Below are 15,435 nucleotides of genomic sequence, written 5' to 3'. Positions count from 1 at the left end.
TCTCTAAAGAAAAGTTGGGCAATGATAGACTGGATTAAGAAAGTGTGTCACATATACACCATGGAATACTATGCAGCCATAAAAAATGATGAGTTCATGTCCTTTGTAGGAACATGCATGAAGCTGGAAACCATCATTCTCAGCAAACTATCGCAAGGACAAAAAACCAAACACCGCATGTTCTCACTCATAGGTGGGAATTGAACAATGAGAACACATGGACACAGGAAGGGGAACATCACACACCGGGGCCTGTTGTGGGGTGGGGGGAAGGGGGAGGGATAGCATTAGGAGATATACCTAATGTTAAATGATGAGTTAATGGGTGCAGCACACCAACATGGCACATGTATACACACGTAACTAGCCTGCACATTGTGCACATGTACCCTAAAACTTAAAGTATAATAAAAAAATTGGGGTTGTGGTGGGGCAGAGAACTGTTTAAATTCGAGTTAAGCCTGTGATCTACTTTTCTTTCACCAGGGGAGCTTTGCCTGTGTTCTGGTAGACCACTATTGGGAAATTATTAATCCTGGGGACTTACTACCCAAATTCATCACATTAGTGTTGGGCATGAAGCCTCAAGGCTTAAGGTAGCCAGGTGCTGTAGAAAGAGTCCTGTGAGTTCAAGTCTGGTCTAAGTGCAATTTTTAAGCTTCTATTTCCTCATCTATAAAAGAGGAATGAAAATGGTGTCTTTAGGATCAAATGAACATATTAGTGTTAAAACTTTAGAGACTATAAGGTTCTTTTTTTGTATTGTAACTTCACTATTTCCAATATCATTTCATTCATTCTACAAATACTCTTTTTTTTTTTATTATACTTTAAGTTTTAGGGTACATGTGCACAGTGTGCAGGTTAGTTACATATGTATACATGTGCCATGCTGGTGCGCTGCACCCACTAACTCGTCATCTAGCATTAGGTATATCTCCGAATGCTATCCCTCCCCCCTCCCCCCACCCCACTACAGTCCCCAGAGTGTGATATTCCCCTTCCTGTGTCCATGTGATCTCATTGTTCAATTCCTACCTGTGAGTGAGAATATGCGGTGTTTGGTTTTTTGTTCTTGCGATTGTTTACTGAGAATGATGATTTCCAATTTCATCCATGTCCCTACAAAGGACATGAACTCATCATTTTTTATGGCTGCATAGTATTCCATGGTGTATATGTGCCACATTTTCTTAATCCAGTCTATCATTGTTGGACATTTGGGTTGGTTCCAAGTCTTTGCTATTGTGAATAATGCCGCAATAAATATACGTGTGCATGTGTCTTTATAGCAGCGTGATTTATAGTCCTTTGGGTATATACCCAGTAATGGGATGGCTGGGTCAAATGGTATCAAGTGGCCTTCATCCCTGGGAGGCAAGGCGGGTTCAATATATGCAAATCAATAAATGTAATCCAGCATATAAACAGAGCCAAAGACAAAAACCACATGATTATCTCAATAGATGCAGAAGAGGCCTTTGACAAAATTCAACAACTCTTCATCGTAAAAACTCTCAATAAATTAGGTATTGATGGGACGTGTTTCAAAATAATAAGAGCTAGCTATGACAAACCCACAGCCAATATCATACTGAATGGGCAAAAACTGGAAGCATTCCCTTTGAAAACTGGCACAAGACAGGGATGCCCTCTCTCACCACTCCTATTCAACATAGTGTTGGAAGTTCTGGCCAGGGCAATTAGGCAGGAGAAGGAAATAAAGGGTATTCAATTAGGAAAAGAGGAAGTCAAATTGTCCCTGTTTGCAGACGACATGATTGTATATCTAGAAAACCCTATTGTCTCAGCCCAAAATCTCCTTAAGCTGATAAGCAACTTCAGCAAAGTCTCAGGATACAAAATCAATGTACAAAAATCACAAGCATTATTATACACCAACAACAGACAAACAGAGAGCCAAATCATGAGTGAACTCCCATTCACAATTGCTTCAAAGAGAATAAAATACCTAGGAATCCAACTTACAAGGGATGTGAAGGACCTCTTCAAGGACAACTACAAACCACTGCTCAAGGAAATAAAAGAGGATACAAACAAATGGAAGAACATTCCATGCTCATGGGTAGGAAGAATCAATATCGTGAAAATGGCCATACTGCCCAAGATAATTTACAGATTCAATGCCATCCCCATCAAGCTACCAATGACTTTCTTCACAGAATTGGAAAAAACTACTTTAAAGTTCATATGGAACCAAAAAAGAGCCTGCATCACCAAGGCAATCCTAAGCCAAAAGAACAAAGCTGGAGGCATCACACTACCTGACTTCAAACTATACTACAAGGCTACAGTAACCAAAACAGCATGGTACTGGTACCAAAATAGAGATATAGATCAATGGAACAGAACAGAGCCCTCAGAAATAACGCCGCATGTCTACAACTATCTGATCTTTGACAAACCTGAGAAAAACAAGCAATGGGGAAAGGATTCCCTATTTAATAAATGGTGCTGGGAAAACTGGCTAGCCATATGTAGAAAGCTGAAACTGGATCCCTTCCTTACACCTTATACAAAAATCAATTCAAGATGGATTAAAGACTTAAACGTTAGACCTAAAACCATAAAAACCCTAGAAGAAAACCTAGGCATTACCATTCAGGACATAGGCATGGGCAAGGACTTCATATCCAAAACACCAAAATCAATGGCAACAAAAGCCAAAATTGACAAATGGGATCTAATTAAACTAAAGAGCTTCTGCACAGCAAAAGAAACTACCATCAGAGTGAACAGGCAACCTACAAAATGGGAGAAAATTTTCGCAACCTACTCATCTGACAAATACTCTTAAAACACCAATTATATCAGCCATTGTGTGTGGCACTGAGAGTGCAGTGGGGAGCAAGGAGGCTGCAGTTTCTTCTCAAGCGCGGTGAGTATTGGGATCGGGACTCCTCAGCACCAGAAGAAAGAAAGGGTCAGAGAAGGCTTCGGAAGCGATTGATCTTTAAGCAGTTTATTGAAGAACAGGTGAGATTTAGGTGAGGGGTCTAAGACAGAAGGATCAGCCTATGTGGAGACTGGGGGCATAAGACCCTTGGTTCAGGTGGTGACTGTTTGGGGTCCGTGAGACAGACTTGGGTGCAGAAAACTTACTTGCAAGGTGATTCCAGGAAGTAGAAGGAGAGTAGAGAAAGTGAGGCCAGTGAAAGATAAGTTAAGAGCTGGTTAGTGAGTGGGCAATTGGAACTCAAGGCCGCTAGGGTATCCCCAAGGAATAACTCAGAACATGCTTCAGCATTGTCCCACTAGAGGACCGAGCTGCTGGAACTGGGGTCCACTGGCTCCTTTCACCCACTGGTTGAAGGTGCCCCTGGAGAGAATGACCCCCCAGCCCAATTTGGGTTTTCTGGATTGTGTTTAAGAGGATTCCTCAAAGCCCTGAGGCAGCAAAGCCTCCAGTGGCTGCCTCATGCTTAATGAAGGATGCTGGCAAGGTGCATGAGTGTCCACAGTGGAATCAGGTGGGACACAGGGCATGATGCCTTGCACTAGGTCTGTTACAGGTGGACTGGACTGGGGGTGCTAAAAAGCTCTCACCGTCATTTGGTTTAGCTTGAACACATGAAAATTTGAAATACTTTTTTTTTTTTTTTTTTTTGAGATGGAGTTTTGCTCTTGTTGCCCGGGCTGGAGTGCAATGGCACAATCTTAGCTCACTGCAACCTCTGCCTCCCAGGTTCAATTGATTCTCCTGCCTCAGCCTCCCGATTAGCTGAGATTACAGGCACGTACCACCATGCCCGGCTAATTTTGTATTTTTAGTAGAGACGGGGTTTCTTCATGTTGGTCAGGCTGGTCTCGAACTCCTGACCTCAGGTGATCTGCCCGCGTCGGCCTCCCAAAGTGCTGGGATTAGAGGCATGAGCCACCGTGCCCAGCCTGAAATAGTTTTTAATTTAAAGATGAAGTAGACTTGCATTGTAAAAACCCAGATTCCTAATTTCTCTTGAAAGATAAGGTAGCAGCAGGGCCTCATCCGTCCATTGCACAATCAGCTAGGGCTGAACAATACCTACAATACCTATCCTCTGGCATAGAGTATTTCAGGGGTGAAAGAAGTTTGACACAGCCAGAGCTTGCGTGCATGCTTGGGAAAAAGAGGTGAAAATGAAACCCAGTTTGGAGAGAGGTCTGCACCAGAAGTTCCTAGCACATGTTCAGCTAACAATAAGATGGTTCGTAGACACAAGGGACTGTGATAAATCAGTATTATGAGACTCAAGGTTGGTCACGATATGAGATAAGATCAAAGTGTTAGTGGGTTCTCAGCTGTGATACTATCTAATTTGCCCCTTACTCTTCCCAAATTCCATATATAGCATGATTTCAGCAAGCTGAGATGAGGCTGTGCTCATAGGTCTAGAGTTACAGAGGTGAGTCAGACAGGTATATGTTGATAAATGTTTAACAGTTCTGCTTTCTGAGAGAATAGCTCTGATTTATTTATTTATTTATTTATTTATTTATTTATTTATTTATTTATAGATTATTTTTGAGACTGAGTCTCACACTCTGTCGCCCAGGCTGGAGTGCAGTGGCACAATCTCTGCTCACTGCAACCTCTGCCACCTGGGTTCAAGCGATTCTCCTGCCTCAGCTTCCAGAGTAGCTGGGATTACAGGCACCTGCCACCGCGCCTGGCTAATTTTTGTATTTTTAGTAGAGACGGGGTTTAACCATCTTGCTCAGGCTGGTCTCAAACTCCTGACTTCGTGATCCACCCACCTCAGCCTCCCAAATGCTGGGATTATTGGCGTGAGCCACCACACCTGGCAGAATAGCTCTGATTTTTATTGCTTGCTGGTTTTTGTAGTGTAAATACCCCCCACCATGGCTGATTTTGATCCACCGATGTGAATTCACTGAACTTGGAGAGACATGTGCCATAGTACACCATTGCATAGTTTTTCTACCATACAAATATATTAAATATAAATAACCTTAAGAGCATGATAAAAGTACAATGTAAAATAATTAGGAAGGTGGGGTGTTTTGACTATGTACCACCTTTGTTCTTAATACAAACTTTTGAAACAACATAAACTTTTATAATTAATAACTTAATATAATAACAATATAATAACCTAATATAAACTTTTGAAATGTCATTCTATATAATTTAATTTTTAATATTGTCTGCTTAACAGCCAGCTCACAAAATTCATGGAAGTTTAACATTTGGTTCTTGTGAGCTTTTTGAGCTGGTTCTAGCATGTCTCTGCACCCGGAGGTAGGTAGAAACTCCTTCATCAGAAGGCCTCTGGGGTTTGGAGCTCTCATGGCAAGTGCAGTGGTGACAGTAGGGAAAGTAATTTATTTTGGGAAGCTCAAATCCCCTTCACAGCTGCAGGGTCAGAACAAGCTTGGTCTGGATTTGGCAGAGACAGGAGGTTGGGTGAGACTCCCTCAGGAATCTCAAGACAGCAGAGGCAGCTGCTTTTGGAGGAAGGATCCCATGTGCCGAGTGCAAGGCTGTTCGTTACACTGGGGTATGCTCATCTCAGGAGCTTGAGTATGCAAGTTTCTTAGGCAGCATGGCTTTTGTATTCATAGTTTTTCCACCCTAGCCTGCCTTTATCTTCCCTCACCATTATCCTAATTTTCAGCCAGGACAGGAGGCCAAAAGCTCATTCTGCAGAAGCAGGGACTTTACAAGGGGGCCTGAGGAGCTCCGCTGGGCGATCACTTCTCTTGCAGCTGTGCTGTTGTCAGGCAGTCTAGACTAGGCTGGCTGCCCTTCATCCTTTTCCTCTTTGTCTGGGTCTGACTATAAACTGAGACACATAAAGTTTAACTAACTTGCCAATAATCATGCATGCAGTGAATGACAAGGCCAGACAGTCTGGCTCCAGAACGTGTGATCTTAACCACTTGATGGGAAAAAATTGGTAAGAAGGTGGGTGTATGCATTGTGAGGCAGGCCTGTCAGACTTAAGGAATTTCAGAGTAGGGACCCCGTCATGAAACCCTTGGGAAGCTATTGGAGGTGTCAGAGCGAAGAGGCGGGGGGCTGATTTGGTTCATATTGGAGAGAAAGGAAGACTGTGAACTCTGAAGAGGTACTCGTCTTACACGTGTGTATATGTGTGTGTTGGCTAGGCATGCTCTCAGAAACAAAGAAGCCTGCCTCTCCATGCACCGGTCAGCAGCTGTGTGACCAGGGATGCCTGTACCAAAGGGGAAATGGATTGAACACTCTCTGGACAGTTGATGTGAAAAAATGATGGTTAATTTCTAGATATGATAATGGTATTGGACTTATTTCCTTATTGTTGTTTTAAGGGGTTTGTTTGTTTGTTTCAGACAGGGTCTCACCCTGTTACCCAGGCTGGAGTGCAGTGGCGTGATTTCGGCTCACTGCAGCGTCAGCCTCCTGGGCTCAAGGTGTCCTCTTACCTCAGCCTCCTGCCTAACTAGGACTACAGGTGCATGCCACCACACCTGGCTGGTTTTCATATTTTTTGTAGAGATGGGGTTTTGCCACATTGCCCAGCTGGTTTTGAACGCCTGGACTCAAGCAATCCATTTGCCTTGACCTTCCAAAGTGCTGGAATTACAGTCATGAGCCACCACACCGGGCCTATTTTTAAAGTTTTTATTCTTGGTTATAGCTATTTACCTGAGAATCTGGGCCTTAGATCCATGGGAAATACCAGGACCCTAGAATGAAGGTGCTGGGGAAGTTCACATCTCACATTCAGGAAAGATTCTAGGTTTACTATGGGATCATGAATTTGGAGGAGGTTTCCCCATAATTATGAGTTCAAAGGCTTACTCAGCAGAGCCAACATGGAGTCAACAGGGTTGCCTGAGAGATACCAGAGTATGGCTGGTGATATGGTTTGGCTGTGTCCCCACCCAAACCTCAACTTGAATTGTATCTCCCAGAATTCCCACATGTCATGGGAGGGACCCAGGGGGAGGTAATTGAATCATGGAAGCCAGTCTTTCCCATGCTATCCTCATGATACTGAATACATCTCACGAGATCTGATGGGTTTATCACGGGTTTCTACTTTTGCTTCTTCCTCATTCTCTCTTGGCATCACCATGTAAGAAGTGCCTTTTGCCTCCCTCCATGACTGTGAGACCTCCCCAGCCATGTGGAACTGTAAGTCCAATTAAACCTCTTTTTGTTCCCAGTTTCGGGTATGTCTTTATCAGCAATGTGAAAATGAACTAATACAATTAATTGGTACCAGTAGAGTGGGGCATAGCTGAAAAGATACCCAAAAATTTGGAAGTGACTTTGGAACTGGGTAACAGGCAGAGGTTGGAACAGTTTGGAGGACTCAGAAGAAGACAGGAAAATGTGGAAAAGTTTGGAACCTCCTAGAGATTTGTTGAATGGCTTTGACAAAATTGCTGATAGTGATATGAAAAATGAGGTCCAGGCTGAGGTGGTCTCAGGTGGAGATTAGGAACTTGTTGGGAACTGGAGCAAAGGTGACTCTTGTTATGTTTTAGCAAAGAGACTGGTGGCATTTTGTCCCTGCCCTAGAGATTTGTGGAACTTTGAACTTGAGAGAGATGATTTAGGGTATCTGGCAGAATAAATTTATAAGCAGCAAAGCCTTCAAAAGGTGACTTGGGTGCTGTTAAAAGCATTCCATTTTAAAAGGGAAACAAAGCATAAACGTTTCAGAAAATTTGCAACCTGATGATGCAGTAGGAAAGAAAAACCCATTTTTTGAGGAGAAATTCAAGTCGGCTGCAGAAATTTGCATAAGCAGCAAGGAGCCTAATGTTAATCCCCAAGACCATGAGGAAAATGTCTCCAGGCCTTGTCAGAGACCTTCACAGCAGCCCCTCCCATCACAGGCCCAGAGGCAGGAGGCCCAGGAGGAAAAAGTGGTTTTGTGGGCCAGGCCTAGGGTCCCCGTGCTGTTTGCAGCCTAGGGACTTGGTGTCCTGTGTCCCAGATGCTCCAGCTATGGCTGAAAGGGGCCAACGTAGAGCTCAGACTGTGGCTTCAGAGGGTGGACACCCCAAGCTTTGGCAGCTTCCAAGTGCTGTTGAGCCCGCAGGTACACAGAAGTCAAGAACTGAAGTTTGGGAACCTCTGTCTGGATTTCAGAAAATGTATGGAAACACCTGGATGCCCAGGCAAAAGTTTGCTGCAGGGGCGGAGCCCTCATGGAGAACCTCTGCTGGGGCAGTCTGGAGGGAAATGTGGGGTTGGAGCCCCCACACAGAGTCCCTCCTGGGGCACTGCCCAGTGGAGATGTGAGAAGAGGGCCACTGTCCTCTAGATTCCAGAATGGTAGATCCACTGGCAGCTTGCACTGTGAGCCTGGAAAAGCCACAGACACTCAATGCCAGCCCATGAAAGCAGCCAGGAAGGAGGCTGTACCCTGCAAAGCCACAGGGGAGGAACTGCCCAAGACCATGGGAACCCACTTTTTGTATCAGCATGACCTGGACCTGAGACCTGGAGTCAAGGGAGATCATTTTGGAGCTTTAAAATTTGACTGCCCCACTGGATTTCGGACTTGCATGTGCCCTGTAACCCCTTTGTTTTGGCCAATTTCTCCCATTTGGAATGGCTGTATTTACCCAATACCTGTACCCCTATTGTATCTTGGTAGTAACTAGCTTGCGTTTGATTTTATATGCTCATAGGTGGAAGGGACTTGCCTTGTCTCAGATGAGACTTTGGACTGTGGACTTCTGGGTTAATGCTGAAATGAGTTAAGACTTTGGGGGACTGTTGAGAAGGGATGATTGGTTTTGAAATGTTAGGACATGAGATTTGGAGGGTCCAGGGGTAGAATGATATGGTTTGGCTGTGTCTCCACCCAAATCCCAACTTGAATTGTATCTCCCAGAGTTCCCACATGTTGTGGGAGGGACCCATGGGGGCCGGTCTTTCTGATGTTATTTTCATGATAGTGAGTAAGTCTCATGAGATCTGATGGGTTTATCAGGGGTTTCCACTTTTGCTTCTTCCACATTCTGTCTTGCCACCACCATGTAAGAAGTGTCTTTTGCCTCTCGCCATGATTCTGAGGCCTCCCCAGCCATGGAGAACCTCTTTTTGTTCCCAGTTCCAATTAAACCTCTTTTTGTTCCCAGGGTATGTCTTTATCAGCATCATGAAAACAAACTAATACAGCTGGAAAAGGGCAGACCGCCAAGCAGCAGATGATGCAGGTTTAAGGTAGACTCTTCCTTAATTTATGGTAACTCCTACATTGTCTTTAATGTTACTGGATTTTTTTCCCTACTTTTTATTAATGCATAAGATGCATTCAGCCTGTTTCTTATCTCTATAATAAAAATACCTTAAAAATATATGTATATTTTAGAGGTTTGTAAATGAAGTATTTGCAGAGACAATGACATGATATCGTGGATTTGCCTTAAAATAATTCGTAGAGGATGGAGAAGTGGGTGTGGGTATAGAGGAAGCACGATGGGCAGTATGCCAATGGCCTAACCTAGGTGATGGATACCAGAGCATTCATTATACTTTCTCTACTTCAGTATGTGTTTAAGATGTTTATAGTAAAGTTTTCAGAAATTGAGAGAATGGTAATCAACAGAGTTTTTTTAAACTTTTAAGTTCAGGGGTACATGTACTGGTTTGTTATATAGGTAAACTCATGTCATAGGGGTTTGTTACACGCATTATTTCATCACCCAGGTATTAAGCCTAGTAAACATTAGTTATTTTTTCTGATTCTCTCCCTCCCCCAACCCTCTACCCTCTGGTAGGCCCCAGTGTCTGTTGTTCCCCTCTATGAGTGCATGTGTTCTCATCACTTAGCTCCCATTTATCAGTGAGAACATGTGGTATTTAATTTTCTGTTCCTGCATTAGTTCACTGAGGATAATGGCCTCCAGTTCTATCCATGTTCCTGCAAAGGACATGATCTCGTTCTTTTTTATGGCTGCATAGTAGTCTGTGGTGTATATGCAGCACATTTTCTTTATCTAGTCTATCATTGATGGGCATTTAGGTTGGGAATCAATAGATTTTTAAAGATGGAAAGGAAGAAGAGAGTGTTGGAAAAGACAGTGCTAGTGATACTACCATAGAAATTATGGTTTTTGCCAGCAGGCAATGGTATTTTATACACCACCTTCCAAAATGAGAAACATAGAAAGGAATTGAAGGAATTGTTCATAACTGAGCTTAAGTTTGTGGGCTCTGGGCAACTAGTTTGGAGTGATTGACATGCTGGTTAATTTGAAACCAAGAAAATGTTCTCTCTTTTATTCCTTTTTATAGACATACTTTTCCATGGATAACAGGGCTGGCATGGTAGGGGGTGGTTTCCTTTTGTTTTGGAAAGACCACTGCCTGCAGTTGTCCTGTGGGGTTCTAACCTTTTAGTTGGAGTGTGATGTTGCTGTCATTATGTTTTGAGTTAACCTCATGGCACTCAATTGGGTTGAATTCACATAGCTTGTGCGTCCTGATGAAGTTACATCAGTACTGAGGCTTCTGAAGAAATAATCTACATTTAACCAAGTATCAGAGTGAGATATCTATAAGTATGCAGGAGTGAAGACCTAGATTAGGAAGAGGAAGTCCATTAGGCTTTATTTTACTGCAGTTTTTCATTTTTCTTTTTCTTGTGTGTGTGTGTGTGTGTGTGTGTGTGTGTGTGTGTGTGTGTGAGAGAGAGAGAGAGAGAGAGAGAGAGAAAATGTAAGGTTCAGCTTTTTTTTTTTTTTTTTTTTGAGACAGAGTCTTGCTCTGTTGCCCAGGCTGGAGTGCAGTGGCAGTGGCACCATCTCAGCTCACTGCTATCTCCACCTCCCAGGTTGAGCAATTCTCCTGCCTCAGCCTCCCGAGAAGCTGGGACTACAGGCACCCACCACCATGCCTGGCTAATTTGTGTACTCTTAGTAGAGACGGGTTTCACATTAGCCAGGCTGGTCTCAAACTCCTGACCTCAGGTAATCCGCCCACCTCGGCCTCCCGAAGTGCTGGGATTACAGGCGTGAGCTACCATACCCAGCCTTGGGTGCTTTTAAAAATGCTGGCCTTTCTCCATTCTGGACATTTGTGATTCACTGCAGAAGGTATTCAGCTTATGCAATGTATGACCCCAGGTTGAGTAGTATGGCTGCACAAAAATCAAGGTGGTATATAGAATAAGTGGTCAGTCCTCTGATGGTGTGGCTCTAAGGTATGTTTAACGTCCTGCTTGAGCAATTTCAGACATTTGTAGTAGCTTCTAACTTCCTTGTCTCACTGGCCCTAGGTCAGTACTTAAGAATAGTAATTTAAACATTTTTGTAAATGGCTACATGGATGTGGGCAACACATTTCTGATGCTCTGAGCTCCTCCTCTAAGGGGGTCATCATGCCTTTAGTCTTGGCTGTAAAACAAAATGGTTTAATAGAACCAAAAGTAGAGAAATATAGAGTGAAGGAAGCCTCCAGTCTTCTCTACTCTTCTCCTAACTCTCTACAAGGGCCAAGTTTGTCGATCTGATTGGATTAGAGTCTATGTTAGAGCCAGGGAACCAGCAAAAGTTTCATCAGACTCTCCTGGTACCCAGATTTCCAGCCATGTTCTTAAATCTGATGAATCCTGCCTTCCTGTTCTATTTCCCATTCTGGAAATAGGTACTTGATTTCCTTGTTCCTAAAGAAACGGAGATTAGTTTGACTCAGCTATCTAAGGTGATTTACTGAAATGGGAGTTATAACAACTTGGAAAGAAAAAGGAGTGATTTTTTTCTGTTAAAGCAATTAAAAACCAAGTACTGTTTTATGTTACTTTCTGTGAAATTTAGGAAAACAGGTGCTTTACATTGGCATTAAGATCCTCAATTGTTAAATTTATTTAATTGCCATTCAGACAAAGTGAAGCTTCTTTAAGTTATTATCATTCTTTATGCTATGAGAGTTCCTTCAAAGGCTAGGGAGAAATTACTCACAGTTTGAATTCTGAGCCAGGTTTGATCTGAAGCGTCTATAAGCCCAAACCCTGAAATGAATTTTTGTTTTTGCATGATAAATGAGTTATCTATAATAGTCATCCCCAACCTTTTTGGCAACAGGGACTGGTTTCATGGAAGACTATTTTTCAACATGGGCAAAGGGTGGGGATGGCGAGATGGTTTCGAGTTGAAACTGTCCCACCTCAGATCATCAGGCATTAGATTCTCATAAGGAGCGTGCAACCTAGATCCCTCACATGCACGGTTCACAATAGGGTTTGTGCTCCTATGAGAGTCTAATGCTGCTGTTGATCTGATAGGAGGCGGAGCTCAGGCAGTAATTCTCACTCTCCCCCCCTTCACTTCCTGCTGTGTGGCCTGGTTCCTAACAGGCCACAGATGGGACCAGTACTGGTCTGCAGCCCGGGGATTGGGGACCTCTGATCTATAAGGCTGGATCAGCCCATCAGTGGCTCTGAAGGAGAGCCAGCCTATAAAGAGGGGTTGCACTCATCCACTTTGATCTCTCTGGGTTAATAAATTACCAAGAATTTTATTGCTCCAGGATTTACCCTCTTGTCAAATCTAGCTACAAAGAGACCAAACAGCTCAGTTGATACTAGGTGTGACTCCTTTCTTTCTTTTTTTTTAAAAAAAAAAATTAGCATAGAAATATATGCTTTTGTTGTAGCTATTCTGTATATTTTAAGACATGGTACCAGGGAATCTGAATTCCAATAGTGGCTCTATCACCCATATCCTTAGATAAATTGCATAACCACTCTGAGTGGTTTTCTTCTTTTTTCTCATAGACTTGTATGAGAACGAATGTGTTACTCTTGTGTTACTCTGTGTGAAGCTCTTAGAATGGGGACTAGAGAAAGTTAAGCCCTCAATATATGAGAATTGTTATTAAATAGTCCTATATTCAATGGTTTCACCACACTAAGATTGTCACAATATTGAATTCTGATGATAGAAGTCAACTTAACTTGTCATAGCTCTGTTTTTCTATTTCAGTGCTCATTGTCTGAAAGTGTAATTTAAAAAGACCATTGCATTCTTCAAAACCAGCTTAGTTTTCTTGGCAGTAGTGGTGTGTAAATGCTGTAGCTAAAATATGGAATATTATCTTTCAGAATTTTTCCGAGTTGTATATATTCTCCTTTGGAGCACTGTGTGGTTTATCAAGAATTACTCCTGTGCTTTATTCTTACCAAGTTCCTGCTTTGACCATGTGATGATATACTGTCAGTCCCCAGAACGGAGCAGAACTCTCCACCTCAGAGGTACTCACCTGGGTTGGCAGCACCACTTCCTCCCATTTGCCCAGAATTGCAACTAGGCCAAAATTGAATCTGACAGGACAGAGACATTGGCAATACCTTTAGATTACTGTTATCTGTCACTTCCTCCCCACTACCCCCCACCATCCCAAAGACAGTCTCACCTCTTTAAAAACTATTAGGCTAATTAAGGACAGGAAGTTAGTTTCCTGACAAATATTATTGTTGAAGTATAGTCCTTTAGTTACATATTTCCAATTGTCTCACTTTGGATAAATCTTTCTGAAATATGCCATTCTCCCTTCCTAAAACAAAGTTCCCTCACGTGGGATCCTGCTAAGGATCATTCTGCTAAGGATAAACAAAAAGATTCTTGCTGACTCTAACATCACCAAAGGATGTGCAGAGCCTGGAGTTTGACGAATGCTTCCTTCTGCCGCTCTGATGAATGTGATGGGGTGTTGGGCTCATGAGGAGGGAATGTGTGGGTTCTTGAATTTTGTTGTTTGAGGATTCATGTATTTTTCTTGCTAGGTTCATGGACCCTTTCATTCAATTCACATTTATCAGGCCAGGTTCTGCTTAATGGCCAAAACCAAAATTAGCTTCTTAAAATTTTGGGGAAAGTGCTGGCAAAACTGCCTTAATCCATAATTCCATGGATTTTTTTTTATTTCTGATGTTCAATGGCAGTTTTTAATTACATTTTTTGAAATTTAAGAAATAGTGAGAGGTCTGTCTCCAGCAACAAAAATGAGTGTTAGAGGCAAAGTATTGAAGTTTGCATAATGCATATTACATCAAAACTAAGGGAATAAAAAGAACTTATTACCATTCTCAGATTGCAGTGGGGTGTGTTAGAAAGTACAGGAACTGGGTATCAAGAGGCAGAGTTTCAAGTGTCTCTGGCCACCTGCCTGCTGTGGTCCTGGATCAGTTCCTCCACACCTCTTGTGAAGTGTCTTGCTCTGTGCCTGACACATAGGAGATGCTCACAAACTTCTTGTTTTTCTGTATCTTATCCACCCAAATTAAGGGAGGAGACCACCCCTCATATTGTCTTATGCCCAATTTCTGCCTCCAAAGAAAGAAGAAGTAAAAACTAAAAGGCAGAAATGGAATCCACAGGCAGACAGCCCAGCGCCACGCCCTGGACCTGATAGTTAAAGATCAACCCCTGACCTAACTGGTTATGTTATCTATAGATTCCAGACATTGTATGGAAAAGCATTGTAAAAATTCCTGTCGTGTTCTATTGCGTTCTGATTACCGATGCATGCAGCCCCCAGTCACGTACCCCCTGCTTGCTCATTCGATCATGACCCTCTCATGTGGACCCCCTTAGAGTTGTCAGCCCTTAAAAGGGACAGGAATTGCTCACTCAGGGAGCTTGGCTCTTGAGACAGGAGTCTCGCCAATGCTCCCGGCCGAATAAACCCCTTCCTTCTTTAACTCTGAGGAGTTTTGTCTGTGGCTCATCCTGCTACATTTCTTGGTTCCCTGACTGGGAAGCGAGGTGATTGGTGGATGGTCGAGGCAGCTCCTTAGGCGACTTAAGCCTGCCCTGTGGAACATCCCTGCAGCAGACTCCTACCAGCCCAAGTGACGCGGATCCTGAGAGCGCTCCTTGGTAGGCATTTGCCCCAGTGGGACACATCGCCAGAGCAGTGTGTGGCAGGCCTCCATGGAGGATCAACACAGAGGCTAAACACTGGGAAGGAACTGGTACTTGGAGTCCGGACATTTGAAACTTGGTAAGACTAGTCTTGGGAACTTGCTCACTCCATTTGAGTGGAAGCGTGGCCTGATCACCCACGGTGTGCCTTTATCGGCACTTTGGTTTTGGTTTTGACTTGGTTTGAATTGCTTGACAGGACTGGTCTTGGGAACTTGCCTACTCCATTTGAGTGGAAGCGTGGCCTGATCACCCACAGTGTGCCTGTACTGGCACTTTGGTTTTTGTTTTTGACTTGACTTGGATTGCTTGATACTTTGGTTTTGGTTTTGACCTGGCTTGGATTTCTGGATACTCTGAATTTGGTTTTGATTTTGGTTTGGTGTAAACTGCAAAGTGTGTGTGTGCCCTTTTTACTCATTCTTTGTTTTGTGGTGTGCGTGTGGTGTGAGCGTGGTGTTTTGTATTGAAGAAGCATGGGTCAGGCACAAATAAGCCCAATCTACTAGGAACTATGTTGAAAAATTTCAAGAAAGTATTTAA

The sequence above is a fragment of the Homo sapiens genome, chromosome 10 (genome assembly GCF_000001405.40).
Source record: "Homo sapiens chromosome 10, GRCh38.p14 Primary Assembly".
NCBI lineage: Eukaryota > Metazoa > Chordata > Mammalia > Primates > Hominidae > Homo > Homo sapiens.
Note: the sequence above shows the minus strand (reverse complement) of the source record.